The sequence below is a fragment of the Homo sapiens genome, chromosome 3 (assembly GCF_000001405.40).
Source record: "Homo sapiens chromosome 3, GRCh38.p14 Primary Assembly".
NCBI classification, from domain to species: domain Eukaryota; kingdom Metazoa; phylum Chordata; class Mammalia; order Primates; family Hominidae; genus Homo; species Homo sapiens.
This window is the reverse complement of record NC_000003.12, coordinates 167,084,491-167,108,184: the sequence shown is the minus strand read 5'-3', so window position 1 is coordinate 167,108,184 and position 23,694 is coordinate 167,084,491. Positions and strand designations below refer to the sequence as shown.

The window sequence follows — 23,694 nt, the reverse complement described above, 5'->3', positions numbered from 1 at the left end:
CTTAGCTGGTGACTGAATGTTACATGTGAGGAAGAAAGAAGAATCAAAGGGTAATTAGAAATTTCTAGATCCTTTGGTTGTCTGAGTCAATGGTTATATCCTTCACTGGGCTGTGATAACTGAAGAAGAAATAGACTATGGGAGAAAGATAAATTAGTCTTAGACTCCCTGATTTTCAACCAAAAATACTTAGGGAGAATGGAGTGATGTTGAAAGAGAGAGGAGAGTCTAATTTGACTAGTATATTAGAAACGTGAAGGCTTCTAGATTGTTTTATTTTCATAAAAAAATAAATAGCATTATTCAGACTTTCTATAATAAAATACCTATTCCATAATTTTCTCCCATTATCCTCAATCCCTGTGGTCTCTTCACTTGCTCTCTTCAAACCAGACAACTCAGATAGAAACTTTATTTCAGCATGTGTATCAATTTTTTTCTTGCATTTCTGGTCTAAGATGGGTCCCCAGAAAAGCAGTGGGAAAGCCTGATTATCTGGTTGCTGATATTTACGTTCAGCAGAGGCTAATTTTATTTCCAAATAGGAACTGAGGCAGCAGGAAAATCAGGGAATACAGAAAAAGGCACGTTGAGAGATTGACAACATTGCCTCAGAGAAAGCACCATTTAGGTGCCCCTGAATTTTCTTTGATTTACCAAGAAAAGCACTGAACAAGATTCAGTCATTCTCTCTCTCTTTCTCTATCTCTTTCTTCATAGATGTGCATGTATACACGTATATAACTTCACATCTATATAACTTTACTTATATTAATTTGACAGTATGGGCAATGTGTATTTCTTCATCATTTTTCAACTTGGCACAAATTTAGAATGGATTGTGATAAAAACAATTTGGAGAAAAATACCACACTTTAAGGATCTATACAATGAAAAAGACTATAGAAGGTAGATTACTACAGGGAAAACACTTGTGTATCTGCCCCATTAGTGCTCTGCTCAGCTTCTGAAGTGCAGAGACACTTTCTTCCTCAATTTATAAAAGCAAGTCGTACATGCTATCATAGCTAATTAAGTCAATTACTTTGATCTTTCTAAAATAATTTACAGCATGTGAATGCATTCCATCATACCTTTGGGGTAGGAAGCTATGAAACCAGGAACTTCTTCTCTTACTACTTTTCACTAAAAGAACCATATCAATAAACAAATTAGATTGTTCTGAATGAAATGACTGGCACTATTAACACTATTAATTCATGTGAAAACAACAGCTTCAGCAAAAACAATTACTTTTGTCATAGAAACAGTTCTTGTTAAAGGGTCTAGACTACTTTATCCAGAGTTTATATATTTTTATCACCTCTGCTTTAATTTTCTGTCATTTGTGATATTTTGACCTTTTTTTCTTTCACCAAGGTACTCTGTGAATGCTAGAAAAATAGTGAAAATCATGGAGCAACAAAAGAATTATCTTTTTTCTTATGTGAAGTATATATGGTGAGTGTAATTATAAATGTGTGGCCCAAATGACCTTGCTTTTGGATGGATGCCATCTATTCACCTGTGAGTTTTGGTTTCATGTCATGATGCCCACCTGCTGATGAATCCTAGGGTTGTATAACATGACACATTTCTACCTGCACCTACTCCTCAACTGCCCTACTTTCACAGGAATATTTATTTATTCAAAATGAGAAGTAACTGGGAATAACATCAAAAGAAGAGAACTCTGTTACTTGTAATTATTCATCATCTTAGCCTCTCTAGAATTCATTTTTCTAGAGAAGCATTAAAAATCCCTGGATCATATGTCAAAAAAGAATACATATTTCTGCCTATGGAGCACAGAAGTATCACTTTCATTTTAGATGAAAAAAGACAAAGTAATTCCATTCAAACTCTTTCAAAAGCTTTATAGATGACTTCTTTCAATTTTGACTTACTCCCAGGGCAAAACCCATATCCATTTTATTAAAAGTCATGGGTTTTATTTATTTATTTCTTTGTTGTAAAGCAAAACAAATGTCAAAGTGTAATTAGAAGTGACTTTTCAAGAATGGGTCCTGAGTGCCATTCAAAGAAACTTGTATTAGATGGAGAATCATTTCATCTGAGTCTCAGACCCTAGCTCTGGACATCTAACCAAAGGCAATTAAGTTATTTGTTGGATATATAAGGCTTAGAGGGAGATAGATTCAGGGCTGCAAATATAGAAAGTAATGCTTTCTAATACACTTGGAATTTCACATCAGGTTCTAAAGCAGTGAACTGGTTCTTGAATTCAACCCATGGAAAGAATGTCAAAGACTTAAATTCCTCATATGTAGTAGTAGGTGGTAAGGAGACGGATCTAGGTTGAAATGCCAGATCCCTCACTTAGTAGCTGGGTAAGTTTGCACATAAAAAAATCTCTTTGTGTCTTACTAATTTTATTTGAAAATGAGAATATTTCTATATACCTCGCATGGTAGATAGTAGAGCAAAATAACATAGGGAAAGCACCTGGTACATGGTAAGTTCTACATATTCATTAACCTTTGTATTTTAAAATCACTATTATTTGGAGAAATATATTAATAAGCATGTAATTTTGTTGTTTTCTTCTTTTGTTTACTCTGTTTTTGAGCTAATACAAAATATTGTATCCTTAAATCTGACTCACATGAATCAAAATTCTTCCCTGTTATTAAAGGCAATTGGTTTGTTGAAGGAAAATTGGCAGTTGTCCACGACATTGAAGGCAGTTCCCTAAGTTCTTCCTCCTGCAGTGGACATGCTCTTCCTGGCCAAGAGTTGACATGTCTTCGAGAGATTATTCCCTCACACAGCAGGAGAATTTTAGTTATCTCCATTTTATGCCACAGCTTATGTAACATTGTCCATGGAGCAAAGCTTTATTTATGAAGCTAAGCTTTATAAATCTATAGATTCTAGTTTTATTGACTATAAGGGATCCTAAGCCAGAGCCATCCTGTAAAGAACATTCCATGGATAAAGATCTTTCTGTTAGTCAATATTATTATTCTATTTACCTAGAACTCTGAAAAATTGTTGACAAGAACCAACTAAACAGATAGGATGTGTTTTGAGGATAATTAAAATAAAGGTCTTGGAATATAATACTTCTAGGTCTTTTTGTATTTACAAAAATTTTGGTAGGTTATATATAAAAACTATTTTTTAAACAATAGAAATATCAAAGTATAATACACTGTGCACGTATCAGCTCAGTTATCAGCTCACTTTGATTTCCAGAGTTTTGTGCTAAATAAAAATGTACCTATTCTACAACAAAAGAAATCATATGTTTTTATGCATATAAACCATAATTCTTTCAATGTATTTAAAGAGTACAGAAATATATCAAAGTACAAATATTTCTTAATTTAATTCCCAGAGATAGACATAATTAAAATTTACAGTGCATTTTTCTAGATGATTTTCTTTTTAAAAAAACTTTTATTTTTGTTACATAGGTAAACTTGTGTCATGGTTTTTTTTTTTTTTTTTTGGACAGATTACTTGGTAACCCAGGTTATAAGTCTAGTCTCCATTAGTAATTTTTCTTGATTCTCTCCCTCCTCTCACCCCCCACCCTCTGATAGGCCCTAGTGTGTGTTGTTCCCCTCTATGTGTCCATGTGTTCTGACCATTTGAATCCTACTTATAAGCGAGAACATGTGGTATTTGGTTTTCTGTTCCTGTGTTAGTTTGCTGAGGATAATGGCTTCTAGCTCCATCCATGTCCCTGCAAAGGACATAATCTCATTTCTTTTAAAGGTTTCATAGCATTCCATGGTGTATATGTCATACATTTTCTTTATCCAATCTACCACTGATGGGCATTTGAGTTGATTCCATGTCTTTGCTATTGTGAATAGTGCTGCAATGAATATGAGCATGCATATATCTTTATAACAGAACAATTTATACTCATTTGGCTTCATGCCTAGTAATGGGATTGCTGAATCAAATGGTGATTCTGTCTTTATATCTTTGAGGAATTGCCACACTGTCTTCCGTAATGGTTGAACTAATTTACACTCCCACCAACAGCGTGTAAGTGTTCCTTTTCTCCACAACCTCACCAGCATCTGTTATTTTTTTGCCTTTTTAATAATAACCATTCTGACTGCTGTGAGATATCTCATTGTGGTTTTGATTCGCATTTCTCTAATAATCAGTGTTGTTGAGCCTTTTTTCATATGATTGTTGGCTGCATGTTTTGAAAAGGGTCTAGACTATTTTCTACATATAGATGCAGATATGTACAATCTCTCACTCCTTCTCTGTATACCTATATATTTATATAAATATAATCATATTATGATTGCAAATGTGCAACGTGCATTTTTCCTCCTAAACAGTACTTCATAATCATCCTTCTTTATCAATATACATAATTTTAATGGCCACCTATTTTAAGTTTATTTTTAATAGTAGACTTAAGAAGACAAAATGTCTTGACTAAATTTTTAGAGCTCAATATTTCTTCCAATTTTCAATATATTAATAATTTATATTAAAAATTGCATTTTTACTATAGAAATGGTACGAGACATGTTCTACCATAACTTATCAATGGCAAAATTGTTGTGATGTTATACCCACCGTACATTTCATATAAATGATAATAGTAGCTAATAGTTATCAAGAACAGCCTATATTGTTTGCCAGATGATAATACAATCTTCATGCATATTACCACATTTAATATTCACAAGATTATAATAAAATAAGTACTGCTAATGTTTTCAATATATAAGAAAAGTTTAACATCTTATGCAAGATCAAACAAATTGTTAAAGATCGGAATGAATCCAAAGCCAAAATGTCAAGACTATGATAAAGATCATGAAAATCTGAGCACTTCCAAACTATATTGTGACAGAAAGTTAAGTTTGAATTCTTCCCTTTACCAAAGTCTTCAAGCATATGGTGATGAGTACTTACAGCCCTGGTTTCTCCTGGGAGAGGAAGACTTCAGCCTCTCCCTTTTAATCATCTTTCTTGGGGTAGAGCAGGAAAGAGGGAGAGGGGAGCTCTTGTTAGGAAGCAAGGCCCATTTTCATTCAATTCTAAGGAGTGCTGTGGCTGCTTATGTCTCAACCAAACAAATTGCAAACATTTTTATTATTTTTACCTCTGTATATAAAGCAGCAAGGTCATTGTAACTTTGGGAAACATTTTACTAAGCTTTGAGGACCCTTTGACTCAGCAGCCAGAGCCACACTGCTTCATAGGGAGGACTCCAGGGCTTGTACCTTTTGGCTGACTTGGACTTCACTTGCACAGTGTTTTTTTTGTTTTGTTTTGTTTTGTTTTGTTTTAACGCAACCTACTTTATACTGGTGCATTTTTTTTCCCTATTGTTGTGAGAATATCTCTTAGATTATTGCCTGCTCTTAGCATAAGGGCAAGGGAAGTTTTCCAGGGCAGTGGGACTGACAGCAAACATTTCTCTAGATTTCTTTGAGTTGGTTTCTCATTCTCTAGTGACTTATTTTCATCCCTAATTAAGCCAATCCGGGGCAATAAAAGTTCAAATACTATTCAATGCATAATCTATGGTTTACTATGAGGGTTCTTCTCTTGTAAATCTGAGAGCCAAAACTTCCTTAGAACAGTCAATATCCATTGAAAAAGTCTCCAAAAACTTTTACTGTCTTCTTCAAATGGATTGAAATTAGCATGATAGACTGCATGAGTGACTGAACCCTAAAATGGCCTAGCTGTTGCCTTCTTTATTCAAAGACATTACATTCTCCACTCTCTCATCTCCCTAGAAAATCAATCAAAGTTCTCATAATTCACCTGGTTTCAACCAATAGTCACAGATTTGCCTCCTTGCATACTAAGTGTAGGTGTGATTTTCTGTAACTGTAGCTAACTGGAGTTAGGAACTTCTGCCATGCAGTTACAAATCTTGAGGCCCCCTACCCTATTGGTGAGTACTGCCACCTGCAGGAGAGTTAACACATTTGGGACTCCAATTTGGCAGCTGTCTTTCACTGAACCCATTTACTTGTACTTGACCTACAACTGTCTCTCCAATTCTTCCTCTTTAACAAGGAATAAATTGGAAGATTATATTTGGCCTGGTTGGTCATACGGTTTGATCAACATATTCATTACCAGTTCACATGGGCTTGCCTCAAATCCCATTTATTGTCTTGAAGGTCCCTTATTTTTCTCTTCCAGATAGCCATGTGTTTGTCAGCTTCACATCCTTTTTAATATAACTACCAAGAAATGTAAAGGATCTGAGATTTTATTGTACTTCCAAGATAAGTTAGCCTACCTGTGGATGCTGGCAGAAAACAAGAGACGCCTGTGTCAGACACAAAAATCTTTATTTCTCTCAACAATATCAGTAGTCAACATATCAGCATTTTCTTGTTCCAGTCCCCTGGTGATATGAAGAGGAATAGATGATATCTGCTTACGCAGTGGTTTGAGGTGTAAGAGCTTAGGGAATCCAAATCATTTTTGAGCTTTGAGAACCAAAATCATTTATGGCAGCAAACCTGACTGCCTTTTGCTCCATAGGAGACATTAACATTATTATACTGGATAGTGAGTGTCTCTGACTTTTGCTCCAGAGGAAATACTACATCTATTTTCTGAGGGTGTTCACTATACAAAAATTTGTGGAAAAGTAAAAATATAGTCCAGAAAAAAAAAGAGCAGTAAGTCCCTCTACTCGCAAAACATTTCTCTACAGAAATACAAGAGAAAGATGAAAAATGGTCTCCTAACAGCGTCAGGTTAGCTGAACAGTTTGCCCAGGTAGAAATTTTGGATTATTTTATCTACCTGCAGTGTTTTTGAATTTAAAGTTTCATACAAATCAAACGGGGATGTTGTTTGAATGCCGATTGTGACAATAGATTGAGTTTGGGGCCAAGGATTCTGCCTTTTCAAGAAGCTCTCAGGTGTTCCTACTGCTTTGTGGACAAAACTTTAAATTGAAAGATTATAGTATGCACCAAAGTTCTGACATTTCAATCTCATAAACTATAGGTCACCATTGAGTCAAGGCTTCAATTAGCTAACCTTGTAGACTTTTAACACATTAAATCCTGACCCTTGGGTAATCCCACTGTTAGCAAGCTTTTTGTTTTTTCTTGCTTGGGCAGCTACCACTTTTAGCATCCAATGCCCCACACACACACTGTATACTCCTGCCTATACAGATTCATGAAGTCTCACATTTTTTTCTCACATAGGTTATCTCCTCTGGGGTTAAGCTTTGTACTTCTGTGTCTGGGCTATTTAGGAATCTGATTTCCATTATGGCTCTGGAGGCCTTGGGTCAACTGTCTTAAATGCAAACATTGAGTGATTTTTTTACTTCAGAAAATGCTGACTTCATCACAAAGTGAGGGTAGTATATCTATGTTCATTCACAAGGGAGCTTCAAGACGATTTAAAGATGATTTAAATTTCAAGATGATTAAATTTCAAGATGATTTAAAATTTCAGACTTTTATGTCTTATCTATGACTTCCCACATGTTTGTATTCATGTGGGAAGCATCATGGGATGAATCATGTGGGATTCATGTCTTAGCATCTCATTTATTTCCTGCCAGTGCCCTTAGCTGGTTGAATTGAATATTTAATTGACATTGCAACTCTAACCATTATAATCAGGCATTGGGCTTGGTTCTCAGCCATGTCAGCTTCCCAACTACAGGAAATAAAGGGCTTTTCAAAGCTCCTGAAGAAGCTTTCCAATTGTCCACTTTCATTCTCTGTTGGACAGTCAGACATCTCAAGTTCTCTGTTACCTCTTATACATTTTCCAGGAGTTCAAAAGTTAGATCATGACATCATCATTGGCATCTTTGTAATCAATATTTTAGTTATTTTTGTTGCAGTAGCAACTCAGTGCCACAGATATTTGATTTCATTACTTCTTGCATTCACTCTGCACTTCATTCCAAAAGTTACGGATTGAATGTGCTCCCCCACCACCCGTTTCATATATTGAAGTCCTAACTGTATTGGAGGATAGGGCCTGTGACTGTGTTTACAGATAGATCCTGTGAGGCAGTGAGTAAAGTTAAATGAGGCCATAAAGTCCTTAATCCATAGGTCTAATGTCGTTGTAAGAAGAGGAAGAGAAACCAGAGTTCTCTCTCCTGTGCATACCATCAAGGAAAGGTCATGTGAGCACGCAGTGAGAAGGTGGCCATCTGCAAACCAGGAAGAGAGCTTCACCAGAAACTGACCATGCTGGCATCTTGGTCTTGGACTTCCAAGCCTCAAGAGCTGTAAGAAAATTAATTCCTGTTGTTTAAACCACCCAGCTTATGGTATTTTATTATGGCAGCCTAAGCAGACCAAGACATAAAGCCACCACTAGTGGTAATTTGAATTATTATCATACTACCACCTGCCATGGATTATTCATTATTCATTTCCTTCTACCAGAAAGAATATCCCTTCACTCCGTGAACATATAAGCAACTCAATCCCAGAATTGCATTTTGACACTCTTTCCTGAGGCCAGTGATGGTTTCAATTATTCTATCAGTTAGCACTGTAAAAGATAATCAGATGTTAAACTCAAATTAGGTAATTTGAGAAGAATTTGATTAAAAGTCTATTTAATGTCATCTGCACAGGGCATTTGAGAACTCACAAGAGATGGTTCATGTCATTACTGGGGCTGAAGAAATAAGAAAAAAGAATGGTTATTGGAATCTGAAAACTGGGAGTGCCGAGTGGATAGAGCTGTGTAACAGGACCTGTGGCCTTAGGCAAGTGACTTAGCCGTGCCATGCCAACTCTGTTGGGAGAGTCAAGGTATTTCACATTTTTCCCTCCCTCAAATCTCATTATCGCTTGTTTGTCAAGCTTTTTTATCTTCCCCAAACAACTGTTTGCACGTTGATTATATTGGAACCCTTCCTTTATTCCAGGGATGGACACATATTTCAAATATGAAATTGCCTTTTTTGTTCATTTTTTTTTCAATGTAACCATTTATGAGCTTTCATATACCTTAACTTTCAGTTTGGATCTCATCTACAGATAAATTACCTGATAGAACTTAGTATGATCCCTGTGTTATGGATACATGTTTTCTGGTGGAAGGACAAGAGTGGAAGCAAAAGGACAAAGGAGATCAACTGGGTAGAATAACTCATCGATCCCACCAGGCCTCCTTCCACCATTCTCCATCCTACTTTCTACTCTGACAGGCAGACTTATATGGAAAAAAGGGAGAGAGTATTACTGGAGTCTTTACACCCCTGACTTCCTTTCTGCTGGGTTGCTATAGCCTGACTTCCATTCTGGACAGAAGATCAGAGCTTTCTGTGAACCAATCCTTTTCACACAGAGCTCTCTGCTTCTGGGATTAGCTAACTGCCCCTTCATATCCAGGGTAGATAATCATACCCCAATTTTTATTAGTCCTGCATTACTCTTTCTTTTATGTTTTTCTATACCCTTGCCACACTTTGGTAAATAGTTCCTTTATCAAATTGTCTCTGATTGTCCAATTTGAGTGTGCCATCTGTTTCCTGTTAGGGCTCTGAGGATACGTCCTCTGTGCTGTATTGGCTTTCTGGTTCATTTGGTTCTCTCAGCAGCCCTGAGAAATATGTTGTTATAACACTTTAAAGGTAAGGATACAAAGGTTTTAAAAGCTTGGCATATTTTGTACCAGCTTCTTCTGAATTAGCTTCTTCTGAATTATTATTTTAACAAGTTGAAATCACATAGCACAAATTACAATTTTTAATCTTATTTTTTCTTTGCTTATGTCATGAAGTTTTCTTTATAAATATAACTCCAAGGGCTACATAAAAATTCATTTTGTGGGAGAGACTTAATTTACCAAACTGATTCTCTTATGCTAAAGATTTGGGTCATTTTATCTTTTTCACTATTCTGGTGATGAACATTTTTTGGGGGGTAGCACAATCTAAACTTATTTCCTTATTCATATATACGTATATGTATCTATATATTCAATTTTGAATACTCAAAATCACAGTGTATATAAGTTATATTGCAGAGGGAGCTTCTGACTCTTTCTTTGGCTCAAATGTTTCTTTTTAAACTCTGCTGAAAATATAGGGACAATATTACTGATTCCACACAACGAGTTTGCTTCTAGAATAAATTTCCTGGAGCTGACTCTTATTAGTTTATTTTGAGCAGATTAGCAACAGTGCTAATAATAAGGCCTTATATTTAAACAGTGCTATAGAGCTTACAAAGCAAATCTTATATGGCCAACTAAACTGGCCTGTGTACTACGCTAGACATAAACATGCAAATAATAGCAAATACCCATGTGGGCCACATCTAATTCCAGAGTTTCCAATTTGCTAATTCATGTTAGTTTCATTTTCCCATTTTACAGATGAGAACATTGTATCTTAAAGAAAATAAAAGGGCACAGCCATAGAATTAAGCTGATAACTTTGGTTTCTCAATTGTTGATGCAAAGATCCTTGCTCCTTTTTCTAAGTCAAGCCAATGGCATATCAATGGCTATTGATGGAAATGTGCTTTTTCTTAAAGTATCTTAGTGCTGGTCAAGTCTCCAGAAGATCATTAAGAATAATATCTTGTTCATTAAAAATTATTTATAGATCATCCCAAGAGAAACACTTGGTACTAACACTTCCTCAGGGAATGTACTCCAAAAAGCCTAGCAGTACATTGCTGGCCTCCTAATTAGCAGGTTAGGACAGCTCTGTGCATCTCTTGGGGGACTCATAAAAGATTACAATTAATTGGGAAAGTCAGTCCTTAAAGTACATTCTATAAGGAGAGTTCAAACAGAATAGCTGTCTTTTTTATGCTTCTTTAGTTAATGCTAACTAAGTGACATCAAAGTTAGAAAACTTTTTTATTGAACCTTAATTCCTTATACAGATGCTTGTTCAGTGTTCTCATTTTTAGGAGAGTGGAAGGGAAACCAAAGCTACAGGGAATTGACAGATCCTGGATGACCTATGTCAAAAGATTTGGTGGATCCCCCCTTTCCCTCAGAATCCCCACTTTCAGTTACTGTAAATGGTAAAGCCACAGGTCGTGATAAGATGAATAAAGATGGAAACGGACAGTTATGATGAGCAATATCATGAGCCTTATTTTATGACCAGTATTCATTTCTTTATATCTCTGCTTCCTCACTTGTTTCTGCTTCTTCTCACCTACATATATACTCATGTGCCCTTTCTTCCAGTAAAAAAAAATCTTAAAATGCATTTCTTACTTAAACTATTATTTTCCCCCATCTTGATATTGCCAAATTCTTGAAATAATAATATAATCCAATGTTTCTCAGACTTTAAAGTGCATTCGGATCAGGAGGGGATCTTGCTAAAATGCAGATCCTGACTACATATGTATAAGACGGGTCTGAATTTCCACATTTGTATCAGGCTCCCAGGTGACATTGATGCAGCTGGTCTGTGGTATAGTGCGCATAGAAAAATTCAAGTTACTATTGACAAAACTCTCACAATGTCCTACGGACTGAATGTGTACCGGTAAAATTCAAATTTTGAAGATTTAATACCCTACATAATGGGATTTGGAAGTGAGGCCTTTGGGGGGTAATTAGGGTTAGGTTAGGTTATGGAGGTGGGACCCTCAAGATGGAGTTAATGCCTTTATAAAGAGAAAAAGAAACATGAGATAGATCTCTCTTCTTCTTCATGTGAGAATACAGCAAGAAAGGGCCTATCTGTAAACCAGGAAGAGGGCCTTCACCTTACACAGAGTCAACTGGCACCTTGAACTTAGACTTCCCAGCTTCTAGAATCATAAGAAATAAATGTTTGTTGTTTAAGCCTGCCAAATTCCCTCTTCCCCCACCCCAGGATATAGTGTTTTTGTTTTTGTTGTTGTTGTTTTTATAGTGGTCCTAACTAAGACACCACTTCACTAAATTACTGCCTAATCTTTCCTATTTTCTCTTCACTTTTCAGCCCTTTGCATCAAGTGTCCTCTCTGCCAGTCTTTTAAACATAGCAATGACTTTCGAGTTACCAGCTTTTCATGATCCTTAACATAACTCCTTGATTACTCAGCTCGTGATCCTGATTAGCATTCTTCCTGTCTTTACTTCTGTGCCTGTATATTATTCTAGTATGCCTTTCTTCCCTTCTTTTCTGAAATTCTCCAGAGTCTCTCTTCTTTCTTCTGCTGGCCCAATGAGTGCAATTCCCAGACTATGTCATTCATTCTCTTTTCTTTGCTCATTGAACTTCTTTATTATCTCCTTTATCCTGAATTCTTTTCTATTCTCAATATTTCAAATTCTATACTCTAATCTTTAATTCTGATTTAATTATTACTCCCAAATTGTGAATCTTATCCTGCGATTCTCATTTGAATATACTGATGATTCCTTAAGCAGAATATATTCCCAAGTAACCTAATCTTTGGATATTCAAAGAACACATCCCTCATATGCCTGTCTCCAGGTCTTTTGTCATAATTAGTATGGGCTTAAGATAAACCATACCTAATTTTAAAATAAACTTTTAATTTTACAACAGTCTTAGGTAGACATACAAAAATTATTGCAAAGAGAGTACAAGAATTCTCATATACCACACACTCAGCTTACCCTATTATTAACATCTTAGTAATATGGTGTATCTTTCACAAGTAATGAACAAATACTGATGCAAAATCTTTAACTGAACTCTATACTATATTCAGATTTTCTCAGTTTCTCACAAATGTCCTTTTTCTATTTCAGGATACAATTCTGGTTAGCACATTAGATTCATTAGTCACATCTCCTTAGGCTCATCTTGATTGTGACAGTTTGCCAGGTGTTCTTTGTTTTTAATGACCTTGAGAGTTTTGAAGGGTATTAGTCAGGTATTTTGCAGATTGTCCCTCACTTGGGAATTTACTAATTTTTTTTTCTCATAGTTAGAGTGTATGTTTTTTTACAGAAAGACCACAGAGGGAAAGTGCCACTCTGATTCCATCATGTCAAGGGTACTGTTGATAAAAACGTTAATTACCTGGCAAAGATAACTTGCCAGTTTCTCTACTATAAAGTTACTACATCTTTTTCCTTCTCAATACTGTCCTTTCTGCGTGAAAGTCACTATGCACAGTCCACACTTAGAGTAGGGAGTTATGTCCTCTACTTAAGGATGAAATATCTACATAAATTATTTGCAATTTTTTCTCATGGGAGATTTAAAGTGCTTTTGTTGTGAATGAGAATAGAGTAAGCTTCATCTATACCTGACTTACATTAGAGGCCTATCAACATTTAAGAATTATTTATCTTATATTATTAATGTTCTGCTATGACAGAGAAAGTGAAAAGTGAGCACCTAGATATCCTGCTGTGATTGTGACATGGATTATCTCAAGCAATATTATTTTTCAGGACTGCTGGAGGAAATTGAGATAAGGATAATTACTGAGTTTTTATGGGCACTATATTTTACTCTCAGATGGTACCAGCTTTACACAACATAAAAATGCTTCTTTTTAAGCAGCAATACTTTCATGTTTACATTGAGAAAAGGACAAACTAAGATATTTGTACATAGTTTTCTTTAGATATTTACTTTCTAGCTATTGTTGAACATGTCTCTGGAGGAATACGTATCATATGGATCATAGCATATGATGCCAATCACGCTTCCTACTTCAAAAAAAGAGTATGTAACAGAAAACGTGACTCTCCTTTGTGGCTCTGACTGGCTTTCTATGGGGTTATATCATTTGTATTGTACCAAAATGTCATATGGGTCATTTTAGAAAAACTTGAGGAAACAATTCTGTATCTTAGATATAAGCACAACATTTATTTTAAAAAAAAAAAAGCATGTGGGTCAGCTGGTCAGTAGAGGGAGTGTAGGCACAGAAACTTTGACTTAACTATTTTGATTTCTATACAAGATAGTGCCTCACAGAAATTCCCCCAATAAACATTTTTTGAAATGTTCCATTTTGAAGGGAGAATAGTGATTTCATCACCATCACAAAATACAGAATTATAACATCTGCTTCACAATGTAGCTTATATCTTTTTTTGACAGTTCTAAAACATCTCTAAATATAATTTATTTTTCCATTCAGATACCACACTTGTGACTAAAATCACTAGAAACAAGATTTCATAAACTTTAAGAATAACTTTTTCTTCCTCTCTTCCTTCTTTCCTTCCTTCTCCATGAAAACAATAAAGTCCAAAACAACAAGGCTGTTAGTCTCATGATAAGATAAGCATTGCCAACAATCTTTTAAATCAGTCACTATTCTTGGTCTTTACAATATATAATTGTTTTTCATAAAATATTCCAATGGCTCCTCACCTTTAAATAATTATTTGGGGTGGGGTAAAACTTCATTGACTGATATAATCGGGATAGAAACACTTTGCCATCGCCCAGGATTCTGAAGCACTTTTCGCTTGAAATGCATTTTGCCTTTTTGCACCTAGACAAAAACTATCTGCCTTTAAAATTGAGTGTTTCACCTTCTCCATGTAGCATTTTGTGGCTTTAATTGATATAGTTAACATTTTCCTTTTTCTTTCTTTTTAGAGCCCACACAGTTAACCCCACTCTTTTGTGACTTTTATGTATTTACTCAATTCAAAATCATTACTGAGTATTTACTATTTGTTGGGCATCAAGTTAGGAAGTAGTGACAAAAAGTCATAGTTCCTGCAGCTTATGTGAGTGAATGTGTCTGCTTGTGTATTATCTCCATTTATATTGCACATTTCAAATGGCAAGGGTCATAATTTGCAGTTTTGCTATATCCCTTTTAGTCCCTAAGCAGTACAGCCCCATAAAAATATTAAATGTTCCAAAGCTATGTTATAAAAATATTGAATGAATATTTTTGGATTTTCCTTGAAACAAATACGTAAGGAACATAAATGTGCTTAAAATTATGTTTATTGCGGCATTATTCACAATAGCAAAGACTTGGAACCAACCCAAATGTCCAACAATGATAGACTGGATTAAGAAAATGTGGCACATATACACCATGGAATACTATGCAGCCATAAAAAATGATGAGTTCATGTCCTTTGTAGGGACATGGATGAAATTGGAAATCATCATTGTCAGTAAACTATCGCAAGAACAAAAAATCAAACACTGCATATTCTCACTCATAGGTGGGAATTAACCAGTGAGATCACATGGACACAGGAAGGGGAATATCACACTCTGGGGACTGTTGTGGGGTGGGGGGAGGGGGGAGGGATAGCATTGGGAGATATACCTAATGCTAGATGACGAGTTAGTGGGTGCAGCGCACCAGCATGGCACATGTATACATGTGTAACTAACCTGCACAATGTGCACATGTACCCTAGAACTTAAAGTATAATAAAAAAAAAAGAATACGTTCATATGTTTAAATAGAAATATCTTAAATAATTCACAAACCAGTCTTTTATTATCCTTCAGCATTCCCAAATTATTTTAGTGCTAATAAAGAAAAACTGTTTTATGTATTGTGCATTTTTATTAATTTTTTTAAAATGGTTACTGCCATCTTGCATTAAAGGCCTAAGGAAAATGATAAAGGTGTAGGCACTGGAATGAATTAAAAGAGCTGTTGAACTGAACATTTGTGTCCACCCAAAACTCATATTTTGAAGCCCTAATCCCCAATGTGATGGTGGTTGGAGGTGGAACCTTTGGGAAGTGATTAGGTTTAGATGATATTATGAGGGTGGGGCCCAGGGATGGGATTAGTGTCCCTTATTAGAAAAGAGACACCAGAGTGTGTGTGTTTTTTTCTCTCTCTCTCAATCTCTCTCTCTGTATCTCTCTCTCTCTTTCTTTCTCTGCCATGTGAGGACATAGTGAGAAGGTGGCCATCTGTGCCAGAAAGAGAGCCCTCGGGAACTAAATCTGCCAGCACCTTGATCTTAGGTTTCTCAGCCTCCAGAACTGAGAAATATATGTCTGCTGTTTAAACACACACAAATACACACACACACACAAACACACACACACACACACGAGAGCTCTTGGTTCAGGAAGAGAGTGGAGGAGCTGAGTAGAAAAAAATTAAGGTAGAAAAAATGACAGTTAAGTGATATACAATACAAAACAATAAAAATAAATTAAAAATGATTTGATTTTTATATAGATGTTATTAATTTCTTCTTAAATAATCAGTTGATAAACACATCCTTCAGAAAAATCCCGGATAGGAATACCTTGAAGAAATCTAAGATCTGAAAGTTTGAATAAGAACTGAAATTCTGATATTTTCTCAACAACAAAGATGAAAAAAAATTGGCCAAAGCCATTTTTCAATTAAAAATGTTTTATTGGTACAAAATATTAATGTTTGTACATCTTTATGAGGTACATATAACATTCTTAATAAATATAATGTTGACTAAATGTTCTTTAACAATGTTGGACAATTCTCTTGAAGTTATTTTTCTTTTAAGCAGAAGTAGTGAGACAACTAATGAAGGGAATGTATTTAGAATTTATGGACGTCTTAACTTTTCCTTCATGATTAACACAAGCACAGATATATATCAAAAAATGATGGCAATAAAAGGGAACTTCTAGCAGCAATATAAGAGGAGAATAGCAAAAGACAAATGGATATGGTGAATCACAGCTGGGTTGTAAACCCATCTCAGTTTTTAAGTCTGTTTCTAATTTCCTTGATAGGCTTCTAGAGAATATATTCCAGAACACAGCTTCAGGTATGCCACCCCAAACCTCAGAACTGAAGTTTTGGAGCAGAATCACTGTTAGGAGCCATGGAAGTTGACTTACTTGTCATCTTCCTGACAAGTACTATAAAGACAGGCCAGGAATGTGTGAACAGAAGATAAGTAGGATCAGATGTCATGGATGAGGAGATTCAGTTTACAGAGCAATGAGTAACGAGCTTTACTGTCCTTCCTGGAACATATGGTATATAATCACTCTCCAGCGATCCACAAAACAGTAGTGACAACACAACACCAATATTAATCATTTATTTTTTTTCATCTGAGTAAAATATAAGGTGCTTTGATATAAATTATCAGATGTGAATCCCATGTTTTTCCTGGATATAGGCAGAAATATATTTTCAAAGAAGAAAACCAGTACCCCTAATTATTGAAAGATTGCTCAAGGTCATTTAGCTAGTAAATGGCAAAGCTGAGACTTGAACCAAAGTTACCAGCCCTTCATTTAGTGTCTTGTATGTTAATTACCATCATGACTCAAGCCTGATCTATTATTCAGACTTCACAAAACACAGACTCTATTTTATCATAATCATGCCCCCTCAAATTCAGTAAATTATTATAAAGCAAATCAATCTTAAGCAAACACATACATAAATTAATGATTTTTAACTTGTGATGCTATATTTTGAAGCTTTTTAAAAAGTCGATATTGCTTATGCATAATTTATACACTTGCTTTAAAGCCTCTAACTGCTGAATGGACATATCAAGTAGATATAAAGGATTATTATAACCTAAATTATGTATCCCGAAAAACATATTTAAGTAAAAATAGGTTCCACATCCTTATTTGCATAAGTAATATAAAATATTATATAGTGAATAAGATTTTTAGATTTTTTTAAGAATGAAGTTCTTAGTAATGTCTGTGACTATAGCTGTTTGTCCTATAAATGATAGGTATTGCAATTACAATTATATAATGTAATGCAAACTTATATGATGTCCTTCCACAGATGATGAGATTTCTTGCTGATCTAAATCAGTGAATACAGTCCATTCATCTTAAACTTGCTCCTAATTGTTCAAACCCAAGGCAGGCAACTTAGTAGTGAGATAGTATTATATTAATATAAGTGAACCTGATGACCTATGGTTTGTGCATGAAATGAGCAACTTAGGTCATTACAAAAAAATGTTTACTGAAAGCTCCCCAAAGCAACTGGTATGTAAACCTTTAAAATGTTAGAAGAGTTCAGGAAACCAAAGTTGGTATTTTTATGGAATGTTTAATGCCAGACATAAATATTTTAGAACAGAGCTGCTCAGTCATCTGAAGTTTATGATTTGGTTCAAAACCATTTATCTAGTCAGAAGCTAGTCCTAAACTATAGTTTAATATTTCTGTTGTACAACTGCAGCAAAAGAATATTAGTGATTCTCAGTTTGAAGAATTCTGTATAGCTAAAATAGTTAAAGAATGTAAAAACTGTTAGAGGTGATTAATAAAATCCATATAAACATGTGCATCTTACTGAAGAATAATCATTGACTTTTCAGTAATCTCAGAATTATATACTTTTAAGTATTTTTCCCATGACCAAAATAAGGACCTTTGCTGAAGCCTCACGAAACAAAGAAAGAAGGTAATACATATTAATAGAGCTGTTTACATGGTTCTGTAACTGAATTTATGCTTGCAATAATACAGGAATACTCTCCAAATTGCTGGCAAGGAGAAGAAATGGGCTTTATTAATGTCTACAATTTCAAAGTGCTGCTCTAGATTTTACTCAGAAAATCATTGCTTAGAATCAGTGGAATGTGTAAGACTGTTTTCCTTTAGTTTCTGTTCTATACCTTATTTCTATTACTCTTTCATTTCGAAAATTTCAAGGTTAAGCAGCTAGCTCTTTTATTGTATAATATAATAAAATGAAATTACGTTAAAAAGTAAAGTTTTGGCTAAGATACTGGATAATGCTAAGGTATCAATTCAATTACTGTGCTATCATAACACAGAAGAAATCTGTAAAATGAAGTTATCTTTTTCATGTCCTAGAAGAGGATAAAATGTGTTCTTTATTAGAATGAAGACAAGGACTTTATATTATCCACTGCTGAATACCAAAGGCCCCAATCAGTATCTGGTATAAAGTAGATGCTTAAGAAAATCTTTTGAATAAATTAAGGAATAATTATAATAAATCCACTAGAACCTATGTTCGCAGCAGGCAGAAGTATAAGACTGTAATATTTGCTTTACATTTCCCCAAGATAGTGTGCCAGTGCACCAAACTCAAAATGTCTAAAATCAAACTAATTATTTTCTTCCACAACAGCTTCGTTAATGTTAATTCCCTATTCTGATTAATATTACCATATATTTCCTGACACTGGATAAAATCTCTGTTATATTTTACTCCATATCATCATTTTAACCTCTTTAAAGGGAAATGTGGGTCTAGTCTCACTTCTCAATATTTTTTCATTTGCTACATACCTGCTAATTCCACTGCCACTGTTACAATTTGCATATTTAGGTTATTTATTTATTGATTTAGTCATTTAGGTTAGATATTTCCAACAAGAGTAGGAGTCTCTTATCTGTTCTCCATGCCTTCAATTTCTGTTCTTTTAATGTCACCCTGAAATAATAGGAGTAGTCAGTTGCATCAATTCAGATTAGGTTATGCTGAACATTAGGGACAAAGAAATGAGCATATAAAAGCATGCAAATATAAAAATAAAGGTTTTTTTTTTACTCTTGAACATATAAGGGATTCAGAATTAGGGTATACTGGGATGGTTTGGCAATCTCATGCCTATGGAGAACTAGATTCCTTCCATTTTGTTGTTCTACTCTCCCTCATGAGCAACCTGATGATCCAAGAGGCTGCTTGAACTATACTTAACATGTTTACATTAACAGTTAACGGTGTATCACTTAACATGTTAGGAAAATGTAAGTATACCTCTTGAAAGGACATTTTCCATAAATCATACACAGTGTTTCTGCTTAACATCATTGGCCAGAATATAAGCATGGGGCCACACCTAACTCCACAGAAAGCTGGGACATGTAGAATGCCCAGGAGGAAATGGCTAATATGATAAGTTATAATATCTGCCAAATGAAGTGTTTTACAAATATTATCATCTTTAACCCCCACAAAACACCCTGTAAAAGTGATGCTAATACTCCCATGTTTAGATGCTAAAACAAACATCCCAGGAGAGGGTAAACAATTCTACCACTTCATTCTCTTCAGCCAACATTTGGTGCTTTTTACCACTCTGTCTCTTTTTGCACTATCATGCTGCTCCTTTCTGGCAGGAACTGGCTCTTACACTTTTGAGATGCTCAACAAAAGCTGCGTGTATGGATGCATCATTGGTCAAGATTGCAAGGTAAGAGTTTACTTGCATCTGAGAACTTCATAGTTTCTAGCTAAACATCAACTTAATATCTAGTTGTCAGAATATTTGCCTCTTCACACATACATCATTATTAGGAAAGGAAAACCTTTAATATCACAAATTTCTTACTGCTAAATTAGAAGCCAAAAGATTTAGGATACAGGAGAATAAAGAGGAAGAAAGGGTTGGTAGTTTAAAACTTATTTTTATTTGTAAATGTCAAAAAAAGTTAATTATTCAGCCTATTTTCTTCGTGTTTGATAAACTTTATAATCTAAGCTTTTAAGAAAAGGGGAAATAATGCTAACTAAAATATGTGAATAGGGCCAAATTATTCAAAATTGAAGAAGAATTAACTGAGGAAGAATCACTGAACAAACTTCATGGTTTTGATACATTAGTTACTGGGAGTAATAAGAACACTGGCATTCCTCTTTGATCACTTAATTATAATATTGTTAAAAACTTGGAAGAAAGGGTATTTAGTTGTTGCAAAAGTCATACATATAAATTACATTTAGTTGAGAATTGTTTGGTTTCCTACACTGTCTACTCCCATCTCCAAGTATATATTAGCCTACATTTTTTTGTTATTAATTTATAGAATTCACTAGTTCAAGAGACGTTTAATCTAACTTAGTAGATTTACTCAGTTTTATTTCTCAGTCCATACTCTAGGTGCTGTAGAATGCCACTTTGCTCATCCAAAAAGAAACATTTTTATCTTCTTCACTAATTACTCACTTTTCGTGTCCAGAGTAATGCATTACTGATTTACAGCCATATTTTTTTCTATATAAAAAGGAAAGATAATTGGTAACACTTAAGAACACAGGTAATTAAACAGCATGGCTGAATATCTAAGTTGCTTAATTTACCAGAAATCATTAATGTATAGCACTACTTTGATATATTTTAAAATTATAAAATTATGACATTTAGAGTAATTGTTTCTGGTTTTGGTGATTATTCATACTCCTTTGTATTTAACCTTATGTTTACTTGACAGTAGAATGGTTCGTTCTTCCTAACCAAATAATCAACTTATATTTGTGTATTTAATTAACGTTAATTTATTTTATTAATTTGCTCAATAACTATTGGTGAAGGAAATGTTCTATCTTATTTTGGGCTTTTATTTTATTTAATTTTGGAGACAGGGTCTGGTTCTGTCACCCAGGCTGGAGTGCAGTGGCATGATCACAGCTCACTGCAGCCTCCCCCCACACCAGCTCAAGCAATCCTCCCACCTCAGCCTTCTGAATAGCTGGGACCATAGGCACATGCCACCACACCCCCTAATTTTTATTTTTTTTCTTAAAGACAGGGGTCTCTCTATGTTGCTGAGGCTTGTCTTGAACTCCTGAGCTCAAAGGATCCTCCTGCCTCAGTCTCCCGAAGTGCTAGTATTACAGGTGTGAGCCACTGCACCTGCCTTATATTGCACCTATTTTAAGCCACCATTTTAAATGGTTTTAGAAAGTGAAAAAGACAAATTTTCTGTCCACAGCTGAGATGTTGGAAGAAGATATAGGAATAATTGAGTATGCACACAGAAGTAAGCAGAATAAGAGAGACTTAGATAACGTGCTAGGGAATCACAGAAGTGAGTCATTAACTTATTTGATAGTTCCTAAAACTGTTTCATCAAACAGATAAAATTTGAATTGGCATTTAGAATGAGTAAATGTTTTTCAGATGGAGGATTTGGTAATAGCATCCTATTTAGAGAGTGCTTAAAGTGAGCCCATGATGCATCAGATACTTAGGGGCAAGGTCAAATACAGCCAGAGTACAGGATGTGTGACAGTATAACAGGCTTTATCTAGACTCTAAAATAACTCCTATTATATCACATCTTGTGAAGCACAGTAGACATTGGAATAACCAAATCCTTAAATGTCAAACATGCTGCCATCCAATGCAGTGACAATTCTGGAAAATGCTCTGATTCTTTTCACTTCCAATGGCCCTACAATGGCTTTTCCACAGCCATTATTCTTGATAACCATTGTCCTGTTTGGCTCTCCTGCTCTTGTCACCACAACTGATGCCCAAATTCTGCATCCAAGTTTCAAGTCCTAGATCTCAGATTAGGAATTACATTCCTCCCTTGATTAATTCAGCTCTTTCGACCAAATAGCTGGAGCTCTAAATTGTTGGAGAAATCCCCTAAAAATTAAATTAATTATTTCTAATGTAACATGAATATATGACTTAAAGTGAATTTGCTAGAGGTAGCCAATATTAAAATCAAAATTACTTGTTCAAATTGACTCAAATAGGTGTCCAAAATAGGATATGTCCCTTTGATCTCAAGTGTTTTCCTTGCATTTTCAGAATTCTATTCTCACAGTCTCCACTGGTATATTTTTTTGCTTTTTCCAAACGTGTTATATATACATACTGTCATAGAAGCAAAATCATTTATTTAAACTATTTAAGTGTAATTAACATATAAAAAGCTGTGCATATTTAATGTCTACATCTCAGTGAGTTTGAGGAAATGTATACACCTTTAAAACTATCACCACCATCAAGATCATAAACATATCTCTCACCTTCCAAAGTCCCCTCCCTCCTCCTTTATTATTATTCTGAAGCAAACCTTTTAAATTGACATTTATCTTTAGTATTCCATCCTATTTAGCTATGTGGTATTATTCACTAAGCACATTCATAGCCCTTCTGCCTGTCCATCTAATGAGAGGCAGAGTGGAATAATTTGGAATCACATAATATAGGGTTTTCATATTCACTCTGCCGCATACTTGCTTTGTGATTTTGTGCAAGTCACTTAACTCTCTGATCCTCAGTTTCTTCACCTATGAAGTGGAGATAGTGATGGTACTTTGCAAGGGTTTTGTGAGGATTTAATAAATATAAAGTTCTTATTACAATGCTGGACATCACAGACACTCAACAGTGTAGCTTATTTTTGAAACGATGATTATTGCTCTGAGCTTCCTGCTTTACTTCCAAAATATCTACTATGGTTTTGATATTTTCCATTAGTAATCTGTTTAAAACCTTAATTAAACTAAAGTCTATCCTTTTCTTTCTATCAGCCAAGTTGTGACAGGAAAATAGAAAACACACTGGGCATTTCAACAAAGAACTTTTATAGAAGGAACTATAGAAGCATAGGTATGGAGAGCTGAAAGGGTGAAAAGAGAACATGAGGGTAATAATAGCAGGAAGCAAGTGTCACCCCCAGGAAACAGACTGTAATTCTTAGAACCTAGTCTTAGAGGAAGATTCCAGTGGAGTTTGACCTCAGACCTTTGAGGAGGAGTACTGCTGGCTGATCGTGCTGTTAGAGATTATGCAGTGAGGCTGGTTCTGAGAATAGCAAAGAAGCTGAAGCCTGCAATCAACAGCTGCTATTAGCTTCATGTCTTCCTTCAGCACCCTCCATTGTCAGAGCCTGACAGAAAGCCAGCAGTCCAAAGAGAAATACAGTTTGCAAAGTTCCAGCCCAAGCCTCACAAAGCACAGCCTAGATGGGTGAGTTTAAAGCGAGAGGTAACTGAGTTAATAGCAAGTATCTACAGTCAAATGTCTGGCTACTGAGTGAGCACACACACTCTTCTACAGATACCCGAACTTCAACAAAACTGCAATTAC

General features: G+C 35.0%; 1 long non-coding RNA gene across 3 annotated transcripts in view; it reads left to right on the top strand.

Moving 5' to 3' along the window:
- The first annotated feature begins 1,424 nt into the window (after positions 1 to 1,424).
- The window catches only part of LOC105374196 (uncharacterized), a 37,858-nt gene continuing 15,588 nt past the window's right edge, over positions 1,425 to 23,694 (top strand). The window contains exons 1-4 of one of the 3 annotated variants that reach the window (XR_924682.2): positions 1,425 to 1,461; positions 8,064 to 8,242; positions 8,597 to 8,777; positions 9,507 to 9,596. This is a non-coding gene — a long non-coding RNA (uncharacterized LOC105374196). Of the gene's footprint in view, positions 1,462 to 7,980; positions 8,243 to 8,596; positions 8,778 to 9,506; positions 9,597 to 23,694 lie in introns of those variants that run through there. The other 2 variants (XR_001741010.1, XR_001741011.2) reach the window with 2 other exon arrangements.